The sequence below is a fragment of the Homo sapiens genome, chromosome 16, assembly GCF_000001405.40.
Source record: "Homo sapiens chromosome 16, GRCh38.p14 Primary Assembly".
Taxonomy (NCBI): domain Eukaryota; kingdom Metazoa; phylum Chordata; class Mammalia; order Primates; family Hominidae; genus Homo; species Homo sapiens.
In genome coordinates, this window is record NC_000016.10 from 88,085,428 (window position 1) to 88,105,554 (window position 20,127).

The 20,127-nt window shown below is 56.9% G+C and overlaps 2 protein-coding genes and 1 long non-coding RNA gene across 3 annotated transcripts in view, besides 2 other annotated features; 1 reads left to right on the forward strand and 2 right to left on the reverse strand.

Annotated features, from left to right (window-relative positions):
* Positions 1 to 4,223: 4,223 nt before the first annotated feature.
* On the reverse strand, positions 4,224 to 5,178 carry LOC124903754 (uncharacterized). Its single transcript, XM_047435027.1, has one exon. It carries the CDS (start codon positions 5,161 to 5,163, stop codon positions 4,450 to 4,452), a length of 714 nt encoding a protein of 237 aa, XP_047290983.1. The 5' UTR covers positions 5,164 to 5,178; the 3' UTR covers positions 4,224 to 4,449.
* Positions 4,826 to 5,453: an enhancer, noted in NCBI's record as "H3K4me1 hESC enhancer chr16:88123859-88124486 (GRCh37/hg19 assembly coordinates)". NCBI's record gives its function as "activates a minimal SCP1, AML or CMV promoter by ChIP-STARR-seq in naive H9 embryonic stem cells {active_cell/tissue: H9 hESC(naive)}" and the evidence as "EXISTENCE:reporter gene assay evidence [ECO:0000049][PMID:30033119]".
* Positions 7,340 to 7,967: an enhancer, noted in NCBI's record as "H3K4me1 hESC enhancer chr16:88126373-88127000 (GRCh37/hg19 assembly coordinates)". NCBI's record gives its function as "activates a minimal SCP1, AML or CMV promoter by ChIP-STARR-seq in naive H9 embryonic stem cells {active_cell/tissue: H9 hESC(naive)}" and the evidence as "EXISTENCE:reporter gene assay evidence [ECO:0000049][PMID:30033119]".
* On the reverse strand, positions 13,982 to 15,558 carry LOC400553 (uncharacterized). Its single transcript, NR_120310.1, has 2 exons — positions 15,267 to 15,558; positions 13,982 to 14,103 (listed from the first exon to the last, which is right to left on the reverse strand). It is a non-coding gene; the product is annotated as an uncharacterized LOC400553 (long non-coding RNA).
* The window catches only part of ZNF469 (zinc finger protein 469), a 339,823-nt gene continuing 335,199 nt past the window's right edge, over positions 15,504 to 20,127 (forward strand). The window contains exon 1 of the mRNA XM_047434810.1: positions 15,504 to 15,642. The gene's annotated coding sequence lies outside the window, so the exon portion shown is untranslated. The remainder of the gene's footprint in view (positions 15,643 to 20,127) is intronic.

Below are 20,127 nucleotides of genomic sequence, written 5' to 3' on the forward strand. Positions count from 1 at the left end.
TGGGGAGGCTGAGGCAGGAGAATCGCTTGAACCCGGGAGGTAGAGGTTGTGGTGAGCTGAGATTGCGCCATTGCACTCCAGCCTGGGTGACAGGGCGAGACTCTGTCTCTCTTTTTTTTTTTTTTTTTAGATGGAGTCTCGCTCTTTCAGCCAGGCTGGACTGCATTGGCACTATCTCGGCTCACTGCAACCTCTACCTCCCAGGTTCAAGTGATTCTCCTGCCTCAGCCTCCCCAGTAGCTGGAATTACAGGCGCCCACCACCACGCAAGGCTGTTTTTTTCTATTTTTAGTAGAGACGGGGTTTCACCGTGTTAGCCAAGATGATCTCGATCTCTTGACCTCGTGATCTGCCCACCTCGGCCTCCCAAAGTGCTGGGATTACAGGCGTGAGCCACTGTGCCCGGCCAACTCTTAAAAAATAAAAAAAAGCATTCTAGAAAATAAAAGGAATTCCCTTGACTTGATCAAGAGTTTCCACAGAAGCCTTGCAGCCACAGCGCGCGTCCCCATGGTCAGGAGCAGGACTGGGTGCCATTCTCACAGCTTCTGTCCAGCTGTGTGGAGGTCTCGGGAACAGAGAAAGAAAACAAGCCAGAGGTACACTGTGGAAACGAAGAGACAAAACAAAACCCACTGTTCGCAGGTGATGTCACTGTGTTCTGGAAAACTCCAAACAATTTCCAAAGATAACCTAAAATATTTCCCAGGGAAAAATATCGGAAATATTAAGAGATGTCAGCACGTTTTTGGGGATCAAAGTCAGTATACAAGGTGTCATTGCGTTTCTGTCATCAGCAGTCATGCGAAAAGGAAACTTTAAAAAGCCACCGTTCAAAAAGCTTTAAGATATAGAAATGTCAAGAAATAACTCCAATTAAAGATGCAAAAAGATGTTTATGGGAAAAAAATCATAAAACTTTCCTGAAAGAGGTTAAAGAAGACCTAAATTAAGGGAGCCCCATCCCGCATCCGTGGATTGCAGAGCACACTGTGCTGACCCCTGTTCTGCCGTCTCCCCTGTGGCTGGCTGCCCTGGCCCCTTCTTCAGCCGGGCCAGGAGCCCAGACCCGCGCTCCCCTCTGCGTGGACACACCCTCAACCCCTTCGCACCTCCGAGGACTCACCTCGTAGGACTCACCTAGACAAAGCCCCAAGCAGAGATACATGAACCTTCGCCTGCCCTGTACCTGAGAGCAGGAGAAGCAGCGCACACCTGGTTGCATTTTTGCTGTGAAACCACAGGCTTCCAGGCAGCCTCTTCATACTGCCCGGCAGCCCCACTTCCCTTCCCTTTGCCTTGAACCTGTACACCGCCTCCCCACCTCCACTCCACTACTGGGGATGCCTCCCTGTTCATCAGCCAAAGCAATCAAAAGAAACCCCACAGGCACCCCAGCCACACCCACTCACCCACCTGCCCTGCACTCGCCTCCCTTTGGTCCCCCACATGGGTGGGTGCCCGCCTGGCTCCCCCAGCAGCCGGGCCCCACCCGCCCCACGCTCGCCTCCCTCTGCTCCCCCACATGGGCGGGTGCCCGCCTGGCTCCCCCAGCAGCCAGTCCCCACCCACCCCACACTCACCCGCCTCTGCTCTCCCACATAGGCGGGTGCCTGCCTGGCTCCCCCAGCAGCCGGGCTGTGGGAAGATGGGTGAGAGTCAGCTCTCTGAGTGCTTGGCGGCAGGCGGTCAGCTCAGCTGGTGGGAACAGCAGGACGGTGTGGACGTCAGCCTGGCACGGGGCAGGGGTGCCCCTCAGCAGAATGGCATGGGGGCTGTGGCAAGCTCCCCTCCATCTCTGGTCCCTGGAGTCAGACTAGACCTTCGCCGCATCCGGCTCGAAGGCTCGGATGGATGATGGATTGCCCGGCCCATCTTCCCCGGGGGGTTGGATCTGAGACCATCAGCATCCAGCAGCCGTGAGTGTGATGGATGAACCGAGGCCAGTCACCTAGTGGGGAAACGACATCTCACATTTAAAGAACACCAGGCGTTTCTACACAGCGGGGGAAGGAAATCCGTCCTGATTTTAAACTTTGGCACAGCTGTGAAACCGAGGGTAGTGAACTCTGAGGAGAGGACTCTTTTCTGTAAGTGGCCCTCCAAGAGCCGAAGTCCCGGTCCCGAGAGATGCGTGTCATGTGTGTGGCCTTGTGACAGAGCCGCTGGGGTTCTCTGTCTACTTCTGGATCGTCCCCGTGTTGCTGGGTGGGCTCCCTGTTCCCCCACCCCAGGCCGTGCAGGCTGGCTTCGCAGTGGACTCGGCTGTGGGAGGTCCTGGCAGGGCGGGTGCTCCTTCCCCGCTTCCCCTACACCCCCGTGACTACAGCCCCATCCCTGGCATCAGCATCCTTGGGATCTTTGCCCCTCAAGCCCGTAACCTTGCTGGTCTCTGAGGCTGTACAGAAACCTGTTTCCTGCAGGGACATACATTTAACGTCCGTGAAAGCCTCAGACCCCCTGAGCACACCTGCCTAGCCGTGTTGTGGACGAACAAGGGCTGACGAAATGCCTGTGGAGGCTGATTTCACCGGAGTCAGGGGAAGTCAGTCTAAGCAAAGAGCAGGGGCACGGATGAAAATAACAGAACAGTGACCCAGGTAGGAACCGTGTGCCGGGGAGGCTGGGCCAAGCATTTATAGAAACTGCCCAAAGAGCAGAGCAGGGCGGGCGTTTCGGCCCATTTTACAGACCAGGAAAACGGGCGGAGAGGCTGAGTGACTGCCCGAGGCGACACACAGCTCTCCCGCCCTGTTTGCTTACACACATTCTTGGCCATGCAGTGAAGGGAGTTCCCAGCAGTGTCCCCCGCCCACTCGCATCCTATTGCCCAGCTGAGCCCCTCCCTTGGCTCTCCCACCCATGGGCCTGATGGCCACAGCTGGGATCCACCGGACACTGCAGTCCCCCAGGCTTCGGGTCTTTGCCTCCTTAGTCACCTGCGAAGCACCTCCTATGTGCCAGCTCTGCCCGTCCAGGGAGAAGCAGCACAGCCCGGCCACCCGAGGCCTCCTGTGCGCTTCCCCGTCTGAGGTCCGTGATCAGAACTGCGGGCCTCTCCCCAGAGGTCGGGGCAGCGACAGGACAGCCGCGGGCTTCTCCGCAGAGGTCGGGGCAGCGACAGGACAGCCTCAGCCTCTTCAGATGCTGCCTTCAGGGAGCAGTGAAAGAGGGAGGGAGAGACAGAGAGCACCCGGGCGGGTCTCCCAGCCACACCAGGCTGGTGGGTGGGATTTATGTGCCAGGTACTGTGCTGGCTATCACCGGGGCCTGGTGGTCTCTTGGAGTCACAAGCAGCCGCCTGAGATGAGGTTTATCATTTTGAGCTAGAATAGGACTGAAGCTCATTCCCGAGGGGCTGGCCGGGCCGGCTCTCCCTGCCTGCCGGCATCTCCACTGCCTCTGCTGTCCTGAAGCTCTTATGAGGGTTCACATTACTAGGACGCCAATGTGGGTTCTCCTCTGGGCACTGGCCCCAAGGCACCCCAACCTCAGACATGTCACCTCCTGGGCCTACTAGAAATGGAGACTGCAGTTCTATGATGGGAAAATCTCTACACCATCGGTCATTTGGGCTATAGAAGAAAAAGAAATTATTTTCAGCTGCAGCTTCGTTTTTGGAATCTTGGCAAAAAAGTTAACAGTGGAGGGGGAAGGAGGCTGGGCACCCTGCCACGAGGCTGGTTCTTGTGGTCCTGGGCACCATCCGGTCACTTTAAAGTAGCAGGTGTCCCCGATGGTACACGCGTGCCTTGTCAGGGTGCACTGTCGGCCGCCTGCTCGCGGTTGGGACACACATGAGGGCTGTGAGAACCCGGGGGTGGTGGCCAAGTGACTCCACAGTGGCCCAGTTGGGGTCTCTTCACTTGCTGGACGGTGGCTCAGCCTGACAGGTTTCACAGGTATCCACGGGTCTGAGTCCAGAGCTGCCCCACACAGATGGCCCCTCCCCAGGTCCTGCGTCAGCCAGCGAGAGGTTCCTGCCCAGACCTCAGGTGACCCCAGCTCCGGTCACTTCTGCCCAAAGGCAAATGAGCTTTTCCTAAAGTCCAAACCCAGTGGTCCCCACAAATCTGAGCAAAGCTGGAAACCCTTGTTCGTTCTGTGGTGCACAGGACGGGCAACTCTGCGGCTGAAATTGCTGTTTTCAGCTACTGTCAGCTGAGCCTTGCCTGGAGCCTCAAACCGCATTGAGGGCTTTCTGTGCTTTGCCTCCCAGAATCCTGGCTGTGGCCTCATGAAACAGGTGCTGTTAAAATCAGCTGCATTGGAAACAGCCGAGTCAGGCAACGAAGGCACAGAGAGGTTAGACAACTTGTGGAAAATCACGCAGCACCGGTGCCTCCACATTCACACTCCGCCCCTCCGTGTCCTGCAATCCTGACCAGCCCCACGTTCCCCAGGACAAGCCGCCAGCATCCCGGAAGGGGTTAATCCCTCTCTGGTGGGTCAGCTCCTGCCACTCTCCCGAGTGCTTTTGCACATGGTCTGGTCGCAATGTGCCCAAGACGGCCCTGTGCTGGGGAGGAAAGCGCTTACATAATCCTCCCCGAGTGTCTTCTCTCTCAGGCGGCATGCACACCCCACTTGGGTTGCAACACAGGCAAGCAGATGCCAGGAAATTCTGAGGCTGCTGCTGAGCCTGGGCTGGGTGAGGCCCAGACCTGAGACCCCCTCACCTGTGTGGGCCCTTGGCTTCCTCTGTGCCCCTCCTGAGCGGGGTCCCTGGCACAGACTCTTGTTCAGACCGTGCAAGGTAGGTGCGTGGTCAGGAGCCCACGGCTCAGGACAGAAGCCATTTGGGGAACCAGCGGGACCTCCAGCGGCTTGGAGGAGGCTGAGTGGGAAGCACGTTCCTACCCAGGCTGAGCACTTCACACAGGGGGCTGGGCCAGAGGGAGAGCTGCCTGCCCCGGAGACCCCTACCTGCCTTCCTGTGCTGGCACAGCCATGCCCAGCCTCCGCTGGACAGCTTGGACTGAGGTTTCCTTGTGGTGGCCCCTCCCCAGAGTGTCTCCCGGGGGCACAGGCCCTGGCGGCATGCACGTCACCCGGGGGGCTTTTAACAGAGACCAGCAACCCTCCCACAGAGGACTGGGGAGCCGGCCCGTGGCTGGCGTGGGGGAGGCAGGCACTACCCAGCCATGCCGGGTGGACAGGCATTTTCCACAGCTCGGGAAACGGAGCCGGGCCAGGAAGGTTGGAGCTCAGCTCTTGGGTGAGAGCCGCGGAGCCCTGGCTGAGCCTCACCTGCGCTCGGAGCCCGTTTCCTTTTCTGTCAAATTCACAATGGGATCTGGCCCTTGACTCCACCCCAGCAGCACCAAAGACACCGCCCTGCACTCATTACATTTCCTCCCAGCCCGCGGGGGGTCGGGGGGGGTGGTGGGGGTGAGGGTGGGCGCAGGCACTGCCTGGCAGGGGAGTGAAAGGAAGGGCCGCGCCGCCCAGGCCTGGGCCCCTCCCCAGCATGTCTCCTCCCCCACCTGCCACCTCAGAGGGTGGACACCCGGCAGGGCCTGGCGAGGGGCGGCAGGGCGGGTTGTGTGCCTGGGGCTGGGGGATGAGTGTTGGGGTCTGCCGGCGCTGACAGTGGGGTGAGGACCGTGTCCCCTGGATTCCCTCCACCCCCGGGCCCTCTTGCCTGGCGGGGACAGCCAGGAGAGAGACTGAGCATTCTCCGTGTCCTGAGGCTCTTCTTGAAACGGTCCCCAGGATCCTGTGAGCAGGAGCCGCGCAAGGCCTGGATCAGCCTTGATCTCGTCTTGAACTCCCTGACTTCTTGCACAGGAAGGTGCTGGGCGCCGAGTCCTCACTGCGGGTGAAGGACCCAGAGGAGAGGAGTGAGCCGAGGCCGCCTGCCCATGGCCAGGGGGTCTGAGTTGGGACACGTTTTCTATTTGGTGGCCTCAGACCCTGCTGGCTGCCAACCCTTGGAATAAGCAACAGGGCGCCTTGGACCCAACAGCCTGGTGGCCATGAGCCCATCTGAATGCCCGGAACTCGCCTTGGACCCAACGGCCTGGTGGCCACGAGCCCATCTGAATGCCCGGAGCTGGGGAGCTGGGACCAGGTGGTGGGAACTATGCTTGCCTCCCGGCCAGGCCGCCTGTCATGGGAAATGGGCCACCGGAGCCCCTGCCCAGCAGTTGGCTGCCCCCCAGGGCTGCTCCGGCCAAGCTTCTCCAGAGGTCACGCACTGCACCACATCCTCCCACCCCACTGGGCCAGCCCTGCTAGAGGAGGGGGTGCCCCCACAGAGTCTGCCCCCGCCGCTGCCGGCGAGGACCTCCGGGTGTGACCACACAGGGCCCGGGCTCCCATCCAGGCCGAGTGGGCGCAGGGCACGGCTTCTCCGTGGAGTCCCAGGCCCTACGCCTCCAGGCGCCAGGCGTGCCTGAGTGAGGGCCTCATCCTGGAGGACGGGGAGGGGTGCAGGAGGCAGCTCAGGAATCCCTCAGGGCGCCCCAGGCCAGGCTGATCACAGCAGAGCGGCCTTAGCAAAGCTTCCAGCTTCCCCCAGCCTTTGCCGCACGTCTGCAATGGGGACTTTTCAAAGCTGATCTCGGTGCAGTGGGCGTAGCTGATTCCGGCCCCGGGCTGCGGAGCCAGGAAGGAAAGCCTGCGTCTGCTTTTTGCTGGAGTTTAGCACAGATGGCAATCCTGTGCCGCCATGAATTAAGTGGGTTTCAACCCAGTGCTGCTCTCTCCAGCCAGGGCCAGGCTCCTAGAGGGGCTCACAGGGCTCCCAAGCTGGACTCCCTGCCCCAGCTCCTTCCTCTTCCCCGGCTCCCAGCAGAGCGGGGCTGTCATTTCACCAAGCAGCCATGGGGGTGGGGGCCAGAGCCTTGTGGGCTCATGGGTGTGGGGGGAGTGAGGTGGGTCCCTGCCCGTGGGGGAATGTGGGGGCCCAGCGGTGCTGGAACAGGAGTGATTCTGCCCCCAAGCAGGAAACACAAATCAATATGTGAATGTTTGGGGTTGTTGCAACTGGGGAGGGGGCGATACTGGCAATTAGGGGGTGTAAATCAGAGGGAAGAGGGAGGGAGGGAGAAAGAAGGGAGAGAGGAAGGAGGGAGGGAGGGAGGAAGGAGGAGAAGAAGGTGCCCAAGCCCCCATTCCCCAGGAGAGGTAGTGCCCAGGACTATGGTGCCCTTTGCAGGGCCGACCTCCCATCTCCATGGCGTCACTCTCTTTCCTTCTCGGGGACTTGGGGTGACCATGAGCCGTACTATCGAAGTACTTACTGTGGAAGGTGGAAGAGCTGAGGAGGGCGCCCGACAGGATCCCCCAGGACACCCTGGCCCATTCGGCACCATTCGAATGCATGAGATCGCAGGCCCTGTGCCGGTGCCCGGGGCATGAGGGGCCTGCCCGTCCTGCAGGGTGCTGCTCAGATGCCTCGACCCTGGGAGGCCCCTCCTGGCCATTCTTGCAGGCCTGCCCCAGCCTGTGCCTTCTGCTGGGGCAGGGCCTCAGGCAGCAGTGGACAGTGGCCAGGAGGGCGCCGCTCAGGTTGGGAGAGGCCCGTGGGGGATCAGCCTCCCCGGATCCCGGGGTGGGGCCTAGTTACACACAGAGATAATGCAGACTCAGGCAGTGCGCAGGCAAGGCCGGAGTGCCGAGTATGGTACAGGAAACGCAGTGTGCGCAGCTGCGCTGCACCGTGGTCCACACAGCCAGGCTCTTTGGTGTGTTTCCTGCACACAAGGACATTCACAAGCCCTCAGCATCGTCAGAATCAGGGAGTGGACAGGTCCCTGCAAGGCCCCACTGCAGCCTGACCACTGTCCCCACGAGGTTCTGAGAGCGGAGTCTGATGGTGTCACGCCCTTCCCCAAGCCGCCGTCTCTCCTCCATCTCTGTCAGCCTGTGCAGGCTCCTGGCCCCTCCGTGCTGTGGGCACTCGGACTGCTTTGCCTCTGGATTCCTGGTGATGAGATCCTGGGTGGGCGGGGACAGCAGGGGGCGAGGCTGCGCTTCTGCAGGTGTCCTGGCGGCGGGTGTAAAATCTCACCCTGGGCGGTCTCTGGTGACGTGAACGCTGACGGTTTAATTGATGCCGTGTCTGCAGCCTCCCCTGCAACGCTGTCCTTTCTCTCTATTATGATTAATCCGTGTTCTGTGGGGCGTCCTTTAAAGCCATGGGGACATCCACGCGCACCAGGCTTCCAGCTGCTTGTCTGAGCCTGAGCTGTGGGGCCGCTTGTGCCCCAGGCCATCTCCTGGCACTGTCAGCTCCCACCATCCCCCCACAACCCTCCCCATCAAGCAGGCTCCTGAGTGCTCGGGCACGGCCTCGTAGCCCTGGAGGGTCGCGATCTCCTACAAGCCTCTGGTGTTTTCCCTGCCCAGGCTGGAGCTGGCCAATTCTCCCAGGAGTCCTGGCCACTTTGAATGGAACACGGTACTGAGAAGCCGAGGTCTGGGTGCTCGGGATGCTCATGCCCATGGAGGCCGGGACGTCAAGGGGCTTCCAACTCCAGCCTCTCATGGGATGGTACAGCGGCCTGGGCAGGGGCGGAGCTGAGAACAGAATTTCACCCCCGAGGTTCTCGGACTGGAGCTCCAGAGGAGCCGCTGCCCAGGGGCACTTACCGTGTCCTTTATGAAAACAGAAAGTTGAAAACCCCAGATGTCTAACAATGAGCGAATGATTTGGCGAGCTGTGGCTCGGGGTCTGCCATGAATTCTTGGCTCCTGGACTGTGGACTGGGGGTGGAGGACACCAACAGGAACTCTTAGAGGGAAGCTGGAGGAGGTGGGGGAGACAGAGCTTTGGAAAAAGAGCTTCGACTTTGCTCTTGGGTGGAGGAGACGAGGGGAGGGCACGCAGCCAGGGACCACGGGCCGCAATGCTCCCTCCTTCCCAGGGTCCACGGGCGGCAATGCTGCCTCCTTCCCCGCGTCCACGGGCGGCAATGCTCCCTCCTTCTCAGGGTCCACGGGCGGCTGGTGCTTTTTCCTTGCCGGCGTCCACAGGCAGCAATGCTCCTTCCTTCTCAGGGTCCACAGGCAGCAACACTCCCTCCTTCCTGGCATCCAGGGCGGTCGGTGCTCCCTGCTTTCCAGGGTTCCAGGGGAAGTCCCACCCCCTGAATCTTGGGAGCTGGGGAAGAGGTGGGACCCTCGAGGACAGGCCGTAGCCCTCATAGCCAGCCACCCCTAAGGGAGCATAGCTGCTCCACACGGCGGAATTCTCTCCGCACAGACAGCGCAGCCCTGACGCCTCCAGACACCCCTTCTTGCCGATGCCCTTTTCTAGCTTGATCTTGATGGTTCCTAGAGCCTGGGGGTCAAGTGTTCCCTGGCTCGCTTCCTGTAACATCAACTGGAACTTTTCAATGTGGTCTAAAAATAATCCCACCAGCACTTTGGGAGGCCAAGGCAGGAGGATCGCTTGAGGTCAGAAGTTCGAGTCCAGCCCGGGCCACGTAGCAAAACCTCACCTCTACTAAAAAAAAAAAAAAAAAAAAAAAAAAATTCAGCTGTGTGTGGTGGCTCACGCCTGGAGTCCTCGGAAAGCTAAGGCAGGAGGATCACTTGAGCCCAGGAAGTGGACACTGCAGTAAGCTACGATAGCAACATTGCACTCCAGCCTGGTGGACAGAGCAGACTCTGTCTCCATCATCATCATCATCATCATCATCATCATCATCATCATCATCTCTCAAGCATCAATAAGACCTTATTCTATAATGATGATGGTCACACAACTCTGAATAAAGACTAGTGAATTGTGCACTTCACATAGGTGAAATGTATAGTATATTAATTATATCCAAGAAAGCTGTTTATTTCTAAAGGGATTTATCATTCTAATAACAAAAATAAATGATAATAGTGTGACTCTTTGGCACTTTCATTTTTTTTTTTTTTCTGTTTGCTCCTTTGATCATCCAGCACATGGGTGGGAGAAGGCTGGGTTTCACTATCATCTCTGCCTTGCCAGTGGATGAAGCCCAAACCCCAGGTGGGAAGTGCTGGGGTGGAGACTTCAATCCAGGGACTCTGCCCAGGGCCTGTCCCATGTTTTCATGTCAGCTGGCATTTCGTCATCTTAGCCTGATCAGTCCTGTCTAAACTGGTCATTCTTGGGTTGAATCATTGGAATCCCTTTGGCCCTGTCACCGAATCCCCCTCTGGGACAATGCTGAGACAGCTCTGTGGCCTCCAAGATGAACCCACTGACCCACGCCTCCTGGGGTTTATCATCTTCCTACATTGACTCAGGGCTGATGTGTGTGGCCCGTGGAACATGGCAGAGCTGACAGTGTGTAACTTCCATGACTGAGCTGTACAAGGCAACATAGCTTCTGTCTTGGTCTCTCAGGCCATCCACTCCGAGGGGAGCCAGCCCCCATGCTGTGATATTCAAGTGGCCTCATGGCAGGGTCCATTTGGAGAGAACTGAGTTCTGGCCAGCAGCACCACTGGCCAGTGTGTGATGGAGTGACCTAGGAGTGACCTGGGAAGGCCAGCCCCAGTCAGGCCTTCAAATGAGACTGCAACTCCAGCTGATGCAAGACTACAGCTTCAGGAGACTTTCAGGCAAGAATGTTTAATCAAACCCCTCCAGAAATAGGGACTCTTATTCTATCAGCAAGATCATGGCCTGCAGTAATGTGGAAAGTGGCCCAATGAGCTGAATGATCAAGCTAGCAAGCTTTGTAAGGAGGGCACTGAGGGTGGCATATCTTGTACTTTATTTTATTTATTTATTTATTTTAAATAGTAATATTATAAAATAGAGATGGGGTTTTGCCATGTTGCCCAGGCTGGTCTCAAACTTCTAGGTTCAAGCAATCCACCTGCCTTAGCCTCCCAAAGTGTTGGGATTACAGGCATAAGCCACTACACCTGGCCTCTTGCTACTTTTAAATAAAATAAGAGAGGGAAGAGATAAACTAAAGGAAGGGCTGCTAAATATAAAAGAGATGCTTTCTGTCTGAAAACACTTTTTCTCATTCCCGGCCCCTCAAGGTGGCACACAATGCTGAGAATAGGAAACCCAGGGATGCAGGTCATTTAGGGAACAGGACAGGTGATGGTGGCAAGCCTCCCAGATGGCTCCAGTGACCCCCCCAACTCCTGTATTTGTCTGTGTGTGCTCCCCTCCCACACAGCAGGGCTGGTCTGTGTGGTCAGCATAGAGTACGGTGGTGGGCAACATGTGACTTCCCCTTGAGGCTGGATTATAACGGCATTGCAGCCTCCACTTGGCCTGTTGGCTCACTCACTCTAGAAGAAGCTGGCCACCATGCTGTGAGGACATCAGGCAGGCCCTGGAGAGTAACTGGGGCCCTCAGCCAATAGCCAGCACCAGCCCACCCACCTCGTGAGGGAGCCACCAGCCCCAGTCTAGCCTTCAGGTGATGCACCCCAAGCTGACATAAGACCACATGAGAGACCCTAAGGAAAACCGCCCTGCTGAGCACTTCCCACTTTCCTGGCTAACAGTCTGTGAGGGATAAAAAGTGATTTATGCTCTTTAAGCCATTAAGTTTTGGGTGTGTAGCAACACAGCAACAGATATAAAATATAGCAGCATATAAAAGACCTGCACAGAATTCCTATGGAAGTGGGGATGCACCATGGATTTGGACCAGGGACAGACAATATCATCTGTTTTTCCTCCCTGAAACCCTTCTTAATGATCCTGGAGTCAGGGCACTCCTATCAGAATCAATGACCTGCTTTGGGTTTTAATTCTAACCAGCACTGGCGTGTCCCCTCCAACATGCAAGGTATGAGAAGGACTTGCTTTTGGTTACTTAAACATGCCAGGCCATCTGACAACCTCACTAATGACAACCACTTTGCAATCTCACTGATTCTCACTTGGGTGGCCAGTGTTTGACTGGTGACTCTTCTAAAAAGTTGGACATGCCGTTACCCAGGGGTGTGCTCCGTGTCTGCCCCGTGGAGGAAATGCTTTGTCCAAAATGCCTAATCAGAGTCCTAGAGCCAAACCAGGGTGTCAGCCTTGGCTGAGCCCTGGAGACACCTGGGAGCTCTGAACATGCAGCTGCCCACCCCACCCCACCCCGGGAGCTGCTGGGAGCTGGAGAAGGTGGGAAGAGGCCTCCCCAGGGCCCTCAGAGGGTGCACAGCCCTGGAACAACTGGCTCTCAGACTCAGCCTCCAGCGAGGGAGAGGGTGAATTTCTGTCACATGGACCCCCCGGTTTGTGGCACTTTGCTGCAGCAGCCCCAGCACACGGATGTAAAGTGGGTCCGGCATCAGCCCCACAGCCCTTTGTTCCTGCTTCATGGCCCCCAGGAGAGACACCCTGAGCTCCCACTCTCCCACACACACTCGAGGCTGAAAACGCAGGATTTTTATGCCCAGACCTGCTGTTTCTTTCAGTTGTAACTTTTATCTTATGAAAACATTTCTGACCTACTCGAAGGTAGAAGGGCAGGACTCATCACTTCTGCCTCCTCTTTCTGCCCAAGGATAGAAAGAATAAAAGCCAGCCACGTGGTCCCTACAGGAGGACGCCATGTGGTCACTGCTGTCACCAAGAGACTGCACAGGCCCAGCTGTGCATGGGCGCCCTGAGTGTTAACTGGGCTCAGCCATGTCCTCACTTTGATGGTGACACACAGAGGCATCTGCCTGTTAAGCAGGTGGTCCTCCGGGGTCCCCTGAGAGCACAGCCAGGGAACCGGATGCCCACATTTCCTCACTCTCCTCCCATCTTCCCTCCCTCATCTTTCTCCATGCGCTTGAGTGCTTGCTCTGAAATCCAACCTTTAGTGACAATAAAGGAATGAAAAAGAATTCCCTCCACTTAAAGTGGACAGCAAGCCCCTCAATTCCTCTAGGACCCTCTGTCCTTGGTGTAAGTTTGTAAGAAACTTCCAGGAAACGTTGCTTCTATCTTATGTAGATACTTCTGCACAAATGACAGATGTCCACAGGATGTCCAAAGGATGACAGGGGACTCTCCCTGCTGCCCAAAGACATCCTGGCTTCCCTGAGGGTGATGGACCCGCCCAGCTCTCCACTGCCTAGACCCTCCGGCTTTCCTGAGGGTGATGGAGCTGCCCAGCTCCCTGCTGCCCAAAGAACCCCCAGCTTTCCTGAGGGCGATGGAGCTGCCCAGCTCCCCGCTAGATGCCCTGGCTTTCCTGAGGGTGATGGGGCCCTGCCCGAGGACAGCTGCTTTTGTGCCAACTTTCGATATTTCATCTGAGCCGCCAGAGGCTCTAGAAATTGGAATCTACCAATGTCGACCAACACTGGGAGCAGCGTCCTGAGCCCCGAGACAACGTGATCACCCAGAGATCTCTCTTCCCCACCCCACCTTCTTCCTGAGCCATGCACAGAGAGGGTAGACGTTGAACAATGATTAGAAGCAACCCCAGGGTCCCTCCATGGGGTCGAGACCAGGTGACGATGTGCGCCAGGCGCGTTCTCGGAAATGCTGGAGGAATAGGGCCGTCTGGACACGTTGAGAGGTGGGTGGTTCCAGCTCAAACTTCAGGGGGCGCACCGCGGGTCGGGGTGAAAATGGCACTTCTATCTCTAGAGTTCCCCCAGTGGCCAAAAGGTGGACTCAACCCAGATGTCCTTGGGTGGACTGATGCCTGCTTACCCAACATGTGGTCTCTCCCCACCGAGGAGTACGACTCAGCCATAGAGGAATGAGGGCCTCACCCATGCTGCGGTGTGGGCCAGCCTGGAGAACGTCATGGAAGCAGAAGGAGCCAGATGGGAGGACCACACATGGCCAGCTGCATCCCTGTGACATGGCAGAGCAGGTGGGTCTGCGGAGACGGGGGCCCTGGGTGGTTGTCCGGGGCTGGAGGGGATGGGCAGTCATTGGGTGGCCTTTGGGGATGATGAAAACGCTTTGGAAGTAAACAGAGGGCATAGTACAGCATGCGCCTCATGCCACCTACAGTGTCATACTTTAAAACATTAATTTGATGTGCAGTGAGTTTCACCTCAATTTAAAAAACAGGAAGAGAAGTACCAGAGGATGAGAATTGTTTACTCCCTGTGTGCTCTGTGCATGTGAGATGAATGTCACACTCCACACACACTTGCAGACTCCCAGCCGGGTGCCGTTCCTGCCCTTCTGGGGTTGACGACCTGTACAAAGCCCCCAAAAGAATGGGATGGTGTCCCGGCAGCCTGGGGCTTCGAGGGGGGAGGGCGTCGCCCGGGTGGACCCTGCCCCACCCACATGTTCTCGAGGTCAGACCCCTCACTTAGGGGTGGCCGAGGGTGCACCAACTGGCAGCCTGGGTCTCTGTGTTCCGACCACAGCGCTGGGGCCCTTTCTAGAAGCTTCCTGGAAGCGAGAGCCAGTTTTTGTGTAGGCGCGGGGAACGCAGTCCAGAGGCCCCGTAAGGACGGGCACATCTCCCTCCCATTGCCTCAGTGGCTGCACCTGCTTCAGGGTAGCAAAGGGGGCTGCTGGAGTGCTCGGGCTGTGGGAGGTGCCCGTCAGAAGGCGAGCGTGAAAACAGCAGTGTGTGTGGAAGCAATGGAAGGGGGGTCTGGGGAAAATGAGGGGGCGGTCAGGACGGGCTTCTGAAACAGTTTTTAAATGTCTGTTTTCTGATTATAAAGGCAATGTATGCTCATTGTAGCAAACTGCAAAAATACAGGAAAGTAGAAAGTGGGAAAAGGTGCTGCGAATCTGCCGTCCAGACCTAACCGAGAAGGCATGGCATGTTGCCGCCCTCAGGGCATGTGCCGATGGCTCCTCCTGGGCCCACGCCTCCTCCTGCGCCCACCCTCACATCTCCCCATCTGGCATGAAGCCTCTCAGTAGCTATTTGTGGGCTAAATTTTGGCCATGATTAAATTCCTGTGACTCGGCTTCCCTGGAAGCTCATAAGAGCCCAGGACGCCTTAAGTGGATGGAACGGCGACTCGGGGCTCAGGGGAAGGCAGGCAGAATCACTGATGCACCTGCACTCCACCTGGCAGTAGCCTGCCTCAGTGGCAGCAGCTCAGTTTTGGGTGCTGTTTATCTCCTACGAACGAGGAAACCAGGGCTCTGAAAGCACCAAGGCTGGCTAAGGGTCCCCACAGGGAATTGAGGAGTGGGCTGGAATTCCCCCCCAACCAGTGCCCCTTGCTGAGCCTGGAGTGGGGTCTGAGTGTTAAAATCTCCAGGGGAACCCCCACTAAGGGTGACCCCCGCAGAGACCGGAGGGCTTGACATCCCGAATTCCTTGGAGCAGGTGCACCCCTCTGCTGCCTAGGAGGAAAAAAGCCCAGTGGGTTAGAAAACACCCGCTCACCCTTGCAAAGCCGCAGCAGCATCCAGGGTCTTGGCCGCTCGTTCCAGTTTATGGCGAAAGCCAGGTGAAGCCAGGAACAGACTCTGTGCCTCTGAGGCAGCCGGACGCGGCTGTTGACGCAGAAGGTTGATTTTGTCTGGATCTCTCTTGACCAGACAAGGTAGGGTTAAGTGTGTGAAGGGGGAGAAGGGAATGCAGACCGCCTGGAACTTGAAACTTCCCAGCCCAGAGCCAGCCAGTGCGCAGAGACGCAGCCCCAACGCGCTGCTGCTGCTGCGGACACCTGGGGCGTGGAGCCGGGGCACGGGGCAGCTGTCCCTCTGCAGCCACACACCACAGGGGATGGGCGCCGGCAGACACGCCTGCTCGCTCCAGGGTAAGTGCAGTGTGTGGCGTCTGGGGTGGCTCTGGTGTTAAGGAGGTCAGAAGTGAAGTGTTTTCACGCAGGCTGGATTCGATGCGATTGGGCCATCCGGATTGACGATGGTGACGATCGCGATGCCTTCAGGCTCGCAACCGAGGGGGTGCACGCAGGGGAACGTGCCATCCGGGAACATCTTTCAGGCAAAACAAAGCATTTTGCTTTCCAGTTGATGATAGGGAGTGCTGAACCCAATGCCAAGAGCTCAAAGGCGAATTCGTTTGGTGGGAAGAGTCCGCCTGCATCTTTGATCTGATGTGGTTAGGGGCGTCCTCCCCAATTAATGATTTCTATTAGCTGCTGGCTTTGTCTTCTCTCCTTTTTGTGGCACGCTCCAGGTGACCGGCTTATCTCTCAGCGCCCGGGTTGGGATATGCTGTGGACAGACTCAATTAGCTAAACATGTTGTTAAACGTGCATCTCATTACGCTTTTTTTTTTTTTTGAGAAAAGAAAAACAAAGTGTGGAGGCAGAAGGGCTGGGTGCCCCGGCCACCCAGGGGCAGGACGAGTTTGGGGCTTGCAAGTCCACAGCGAATCTGAGGCAGGCACCGTCAATAACAAAGTGCCTTTACGATATTTATAAGAACTAGGCTCTCCTCAATCCTTTCATTTGAACACGTTTCAGAGCAGACCCCTTCCTGGCACTTCGGTGAGGTGTCTGTTTCCCATTATAAAGCTGGGCCATGAATGAAAGTGACAATCGCAGCTTCCAAACATAAACTTCCTGAAACTCCTTTAGAAGGTTCCTCCATGACGTGTAGACATAACCAGAAAGCCGTCACGCTGGGAGGTCGGCCGCGGGTGCGTCTTGGCTCCGTCAGGATCCTGGTGAGGGTGGCAGGTCAGGATTGTAAACTCCAGGAGGGGACTTAAGCGACGGAACAGGGAAGAAAAGTGGCTGAGCTTAGCGACAGGCCGGCCTCAGAAGTGACATTCACCCCCCCACCCCCGCCCCCCGCCCAGTGTCCTTACGCTTTGTGCAGAAATCTGGCGTGATCTAAGATATTGGTGCAGAATTCCCATGTGCTGGTGATTTATCACACCTTCCAGTGTCCTGAGCAGGAACGGGACAGAGGGCGTCGGTGGCTTTTTGGATAAAAACAGGCAGGGCCATGCCAGGCCAGGCTTGGTGGCTCACGCCTGTAATCCCAGCACTTTGGGAGGCCAAGGCGGGTGGATCACCTGAGGTCAGAAGTTCGTAGAGCAGCCTGGCCAACATGGTGAAACCCCATCTCTACTAAAAAAATACAAAATTTAGCTGGGTGTGGTGGCAGGCACCTGTAATCCCAGCTACTCAGGAGGCTGAACCTGGGAGGTGGAGGTTGCAGTGAGCCGAGATTGCACCATTGCACTCCAGCCTGGGGGACAAGAGTGAGACTTCGTCTCAAAAAACAAAACAAAACAAACAAAAACAAACAAACAAAAGAACATGGGCAGGGCTTCTTGCCCAGTGTGATGGCTTAGGGATGCAGAGCTTCCTGGCCACCCTTCGGCTCTGGTCCCATCCGTCCTCACAGCGGTCCAGGGGCTAAATCACAAGGTACCGACAGCCCTCATCGTCCTCCCAGACTTCAAGGAGTGTTTCTTTGCAGACGCCGTACTTGGATTGGGCTGTGAAAGAGGAGAAACCCTCCCTGGGGTAGGTGGGGGTGGTGGGTCACTTGCTACCAAGGCGTCCACCGCAGGGCCCCTGATCGCCGCCTCCCCGCCTCCATCCGCCGGGACCTGGCCCCTTGGCCTCGTGTCTGTGCAGCCTCTGTGGTGACACGTGGCAGAATGCATGTGCTCATGGCTTTGGTTCCTCTGGAAAGGGTGTCCCAAGATGAGGGTGTTCAAAGACTCTTCAAGGACAGGAATCGCTCTCCTCCAACTCTTTAGACGTGGATAGTTTTGTTCTCGTGTTTTACGTGGTGCCTGATGGTAATGCGATTCTTTAACACCAAGAATGGGGCCGTCATCAGTCGCTAAAGCTGTTCTCATGTGTCCACTGCAGTGGCCGGTTTCTGGCGGACGCCCCTTCTGGCCCCTCCCCCCTCCCCTGGGTAGAGCAGGAACAGGACAGATGGTGTCGGTGGCTTTTTGGTTAAAAACACTGGCATGGCCTCTCGCCCAGTGTGGTGGCTCTTAGGGACGCAGAGCTTCCTGGCCGCCCTTCGGCTCTGGTCCTGTTTGTCCCCACAGCAGTCCACGGGCCATGAGATCTCAAAGGCTGGGCACTGGACGCTTTGCTCTCTATCCTTCACACCAAGCTGGTCTGAGCTCTCCACCTGCTGGGGCTGCCCAGTGCCCCTTGCCAGAGACCCAGCTCAGAAACTCAGAAATGCTTCCAGCCACCCGCCCTCGGGACCGGCGTGAAGACCCGGTGCTGGGGCTCCTGGGTGGGGCTGTCACTGCCTGAGTTTGGGGGCCTGCCCTCCTTGTCCCCCCCGAATCTCCCCCTCCCTAATCCCTTGGGGGGGATCAGGAGAGTAGGGGTTCCTAGTTTCATTTCTCCTGCATGAATCAGATCATCTTCTCACCCCACGGGAGCCCTGGGATGCCGAGGCTGGGTGGGGGCGGTAGAATAATCCTCCGTGGCACGAGGAAGCGCTGGAATAATCCTCCATGGCACGAGGGAGCGGTGGAATAATCCTCCGTGGCACGGGGGTGGGTGGAATAATCCTCCGTGGCATGGGGGGTTGGTGGGATAATCCTCCATGGCAAAAGGGAGCGGTGGAATAATCCTCCGTGGCACGGAGGGGGTGGAATGATCCTCCATGGCACGAGGGGGCAGTGGAATAATCCTCCGTGGCACGAGGGGGCAGTGGAATAATCCTCCGTGGCACGAGGACGGTCACTGCATTCGTCACTCTTAGCTGCAGTGCGTGTGACAGTCGCCAGGGCTGCTGTTTGAGGAACGGGGGTTGCCTGCGTCTGCTGTGCCCCAGGTGGTTCGTAGGGTGCTTTTTACTCCTTGCCAAAGCCCACACAGCCCCGCAAGGCAAACAGTGTTCAACTCTTTTCATGGCTGAAAAATTGGGACATCAGAGAGGTTAAGACACTGGCCAGGACCACCTGGCAGGGAAGCTTCCGGGCCTTGCCTGCACCAGGACTGTCCGATGGGGACGTCATCTGCCTCCCAGACGGTATCTTAAAAAAAAAAAAAAAAAAAGACAAGGGATTTATTGAGATACGCTTCACATACCATAGAGTTCACCCATCAAAGTGCAATTCCGTTTAGACTGCAGAGAGATGTGCACCCACAACCACTATCAACTTGGAAATTTTCATTACCACAGACAGAAGCCCCCAGCCTCTCGCCGGCCCCTTGCATTACCCTGGACTGAAGCCCCCCAGCCTCTTGCCGGCCCCTTTCATTACCCCGGACGTTAAGTCCCCAGCCTCTCGCTGACCCCGCCAGCCACACTCTGCTTCAGTCCTGGAGTCGTCAGCTCTGGTCCTGTCCCATGCGTGGGTCACGCAACGCGTGGCCCTTTGGGAGTGTCTCCCTCGCTCAGCGTCACATTCCGGGGGCCTGTCCATGCAGCCTGCACCACCCCAGATGTTCTTGTCTGAGCCTACAAAGATTCCTAAAGAAAGGTTAGAAACTTCAGCTTCATTGGCTCCAGCCAGTGTGGACGCTCCTATCCTTCTGTGATCCCGTTTTCTGCCTGTCCCCACAGCCTGATAAAATGTGCTCCCCACCCCTCCCTTTCTCCTACACCTGGAGGCCTCCAGCTAGACTTCCTTCAGGCCTGCGTTTCACTATCAGTGTGTGGACCTCTGGTTATTTTTTTCCTGGAGAGGACACTTCTTGGGTATTAAGGGGAATTTTGGCCAGGTGCAGCAGTGGCTCATGTCTGTAATCCCAGCACTTTGAGAGGCTGAGGCAGGAGGATCACTTGAGTCCAGGAGTTTGAGACCAGCCTGGGCAATACAGTGAGACCCTATCTCTACAAGAAACAATTTTAAAAAATTAGCCAGGGGTGGTGGTGCGTGTGTATAGTCCCAACCAGTTAGGAAGCTGAGGCGGGAGGAACAGTTGAGCTGGGAAGGTCAAGGCTGCAGTGAGAGCTAGGATGGTGCCACTGCACTCCAGCTGGGGCAACACAGTGAGACCCTGTCACAAAAAAGGAAAGAGGAGTTTTGATCCTCAACACTATAAAGGCCTCTATAACACATACAGCATTTTCTTTTTTCTTTCTTTCTTTTTTTTTTTTTTTTTTGAGACAGAGTTTCGCTCTTGTTGCCCAGGCTGGAGTGTAATGGTGCAATCTTGGCTCACTGCAACCTCTGCCTCCCAGGTTCAAGGGATTCTCCTGTCTCAGTCTCCCAGGTAGCTGGGACTATAGGCACCTGTGACCACGCCCAGCTAATTTTCGTATTTTTAGTAGAGATGGAGTTTCACTGTGTTGGCCAGGCTGGTCTTGAACTCCTGACCTCAGGCAATCCACCTGCC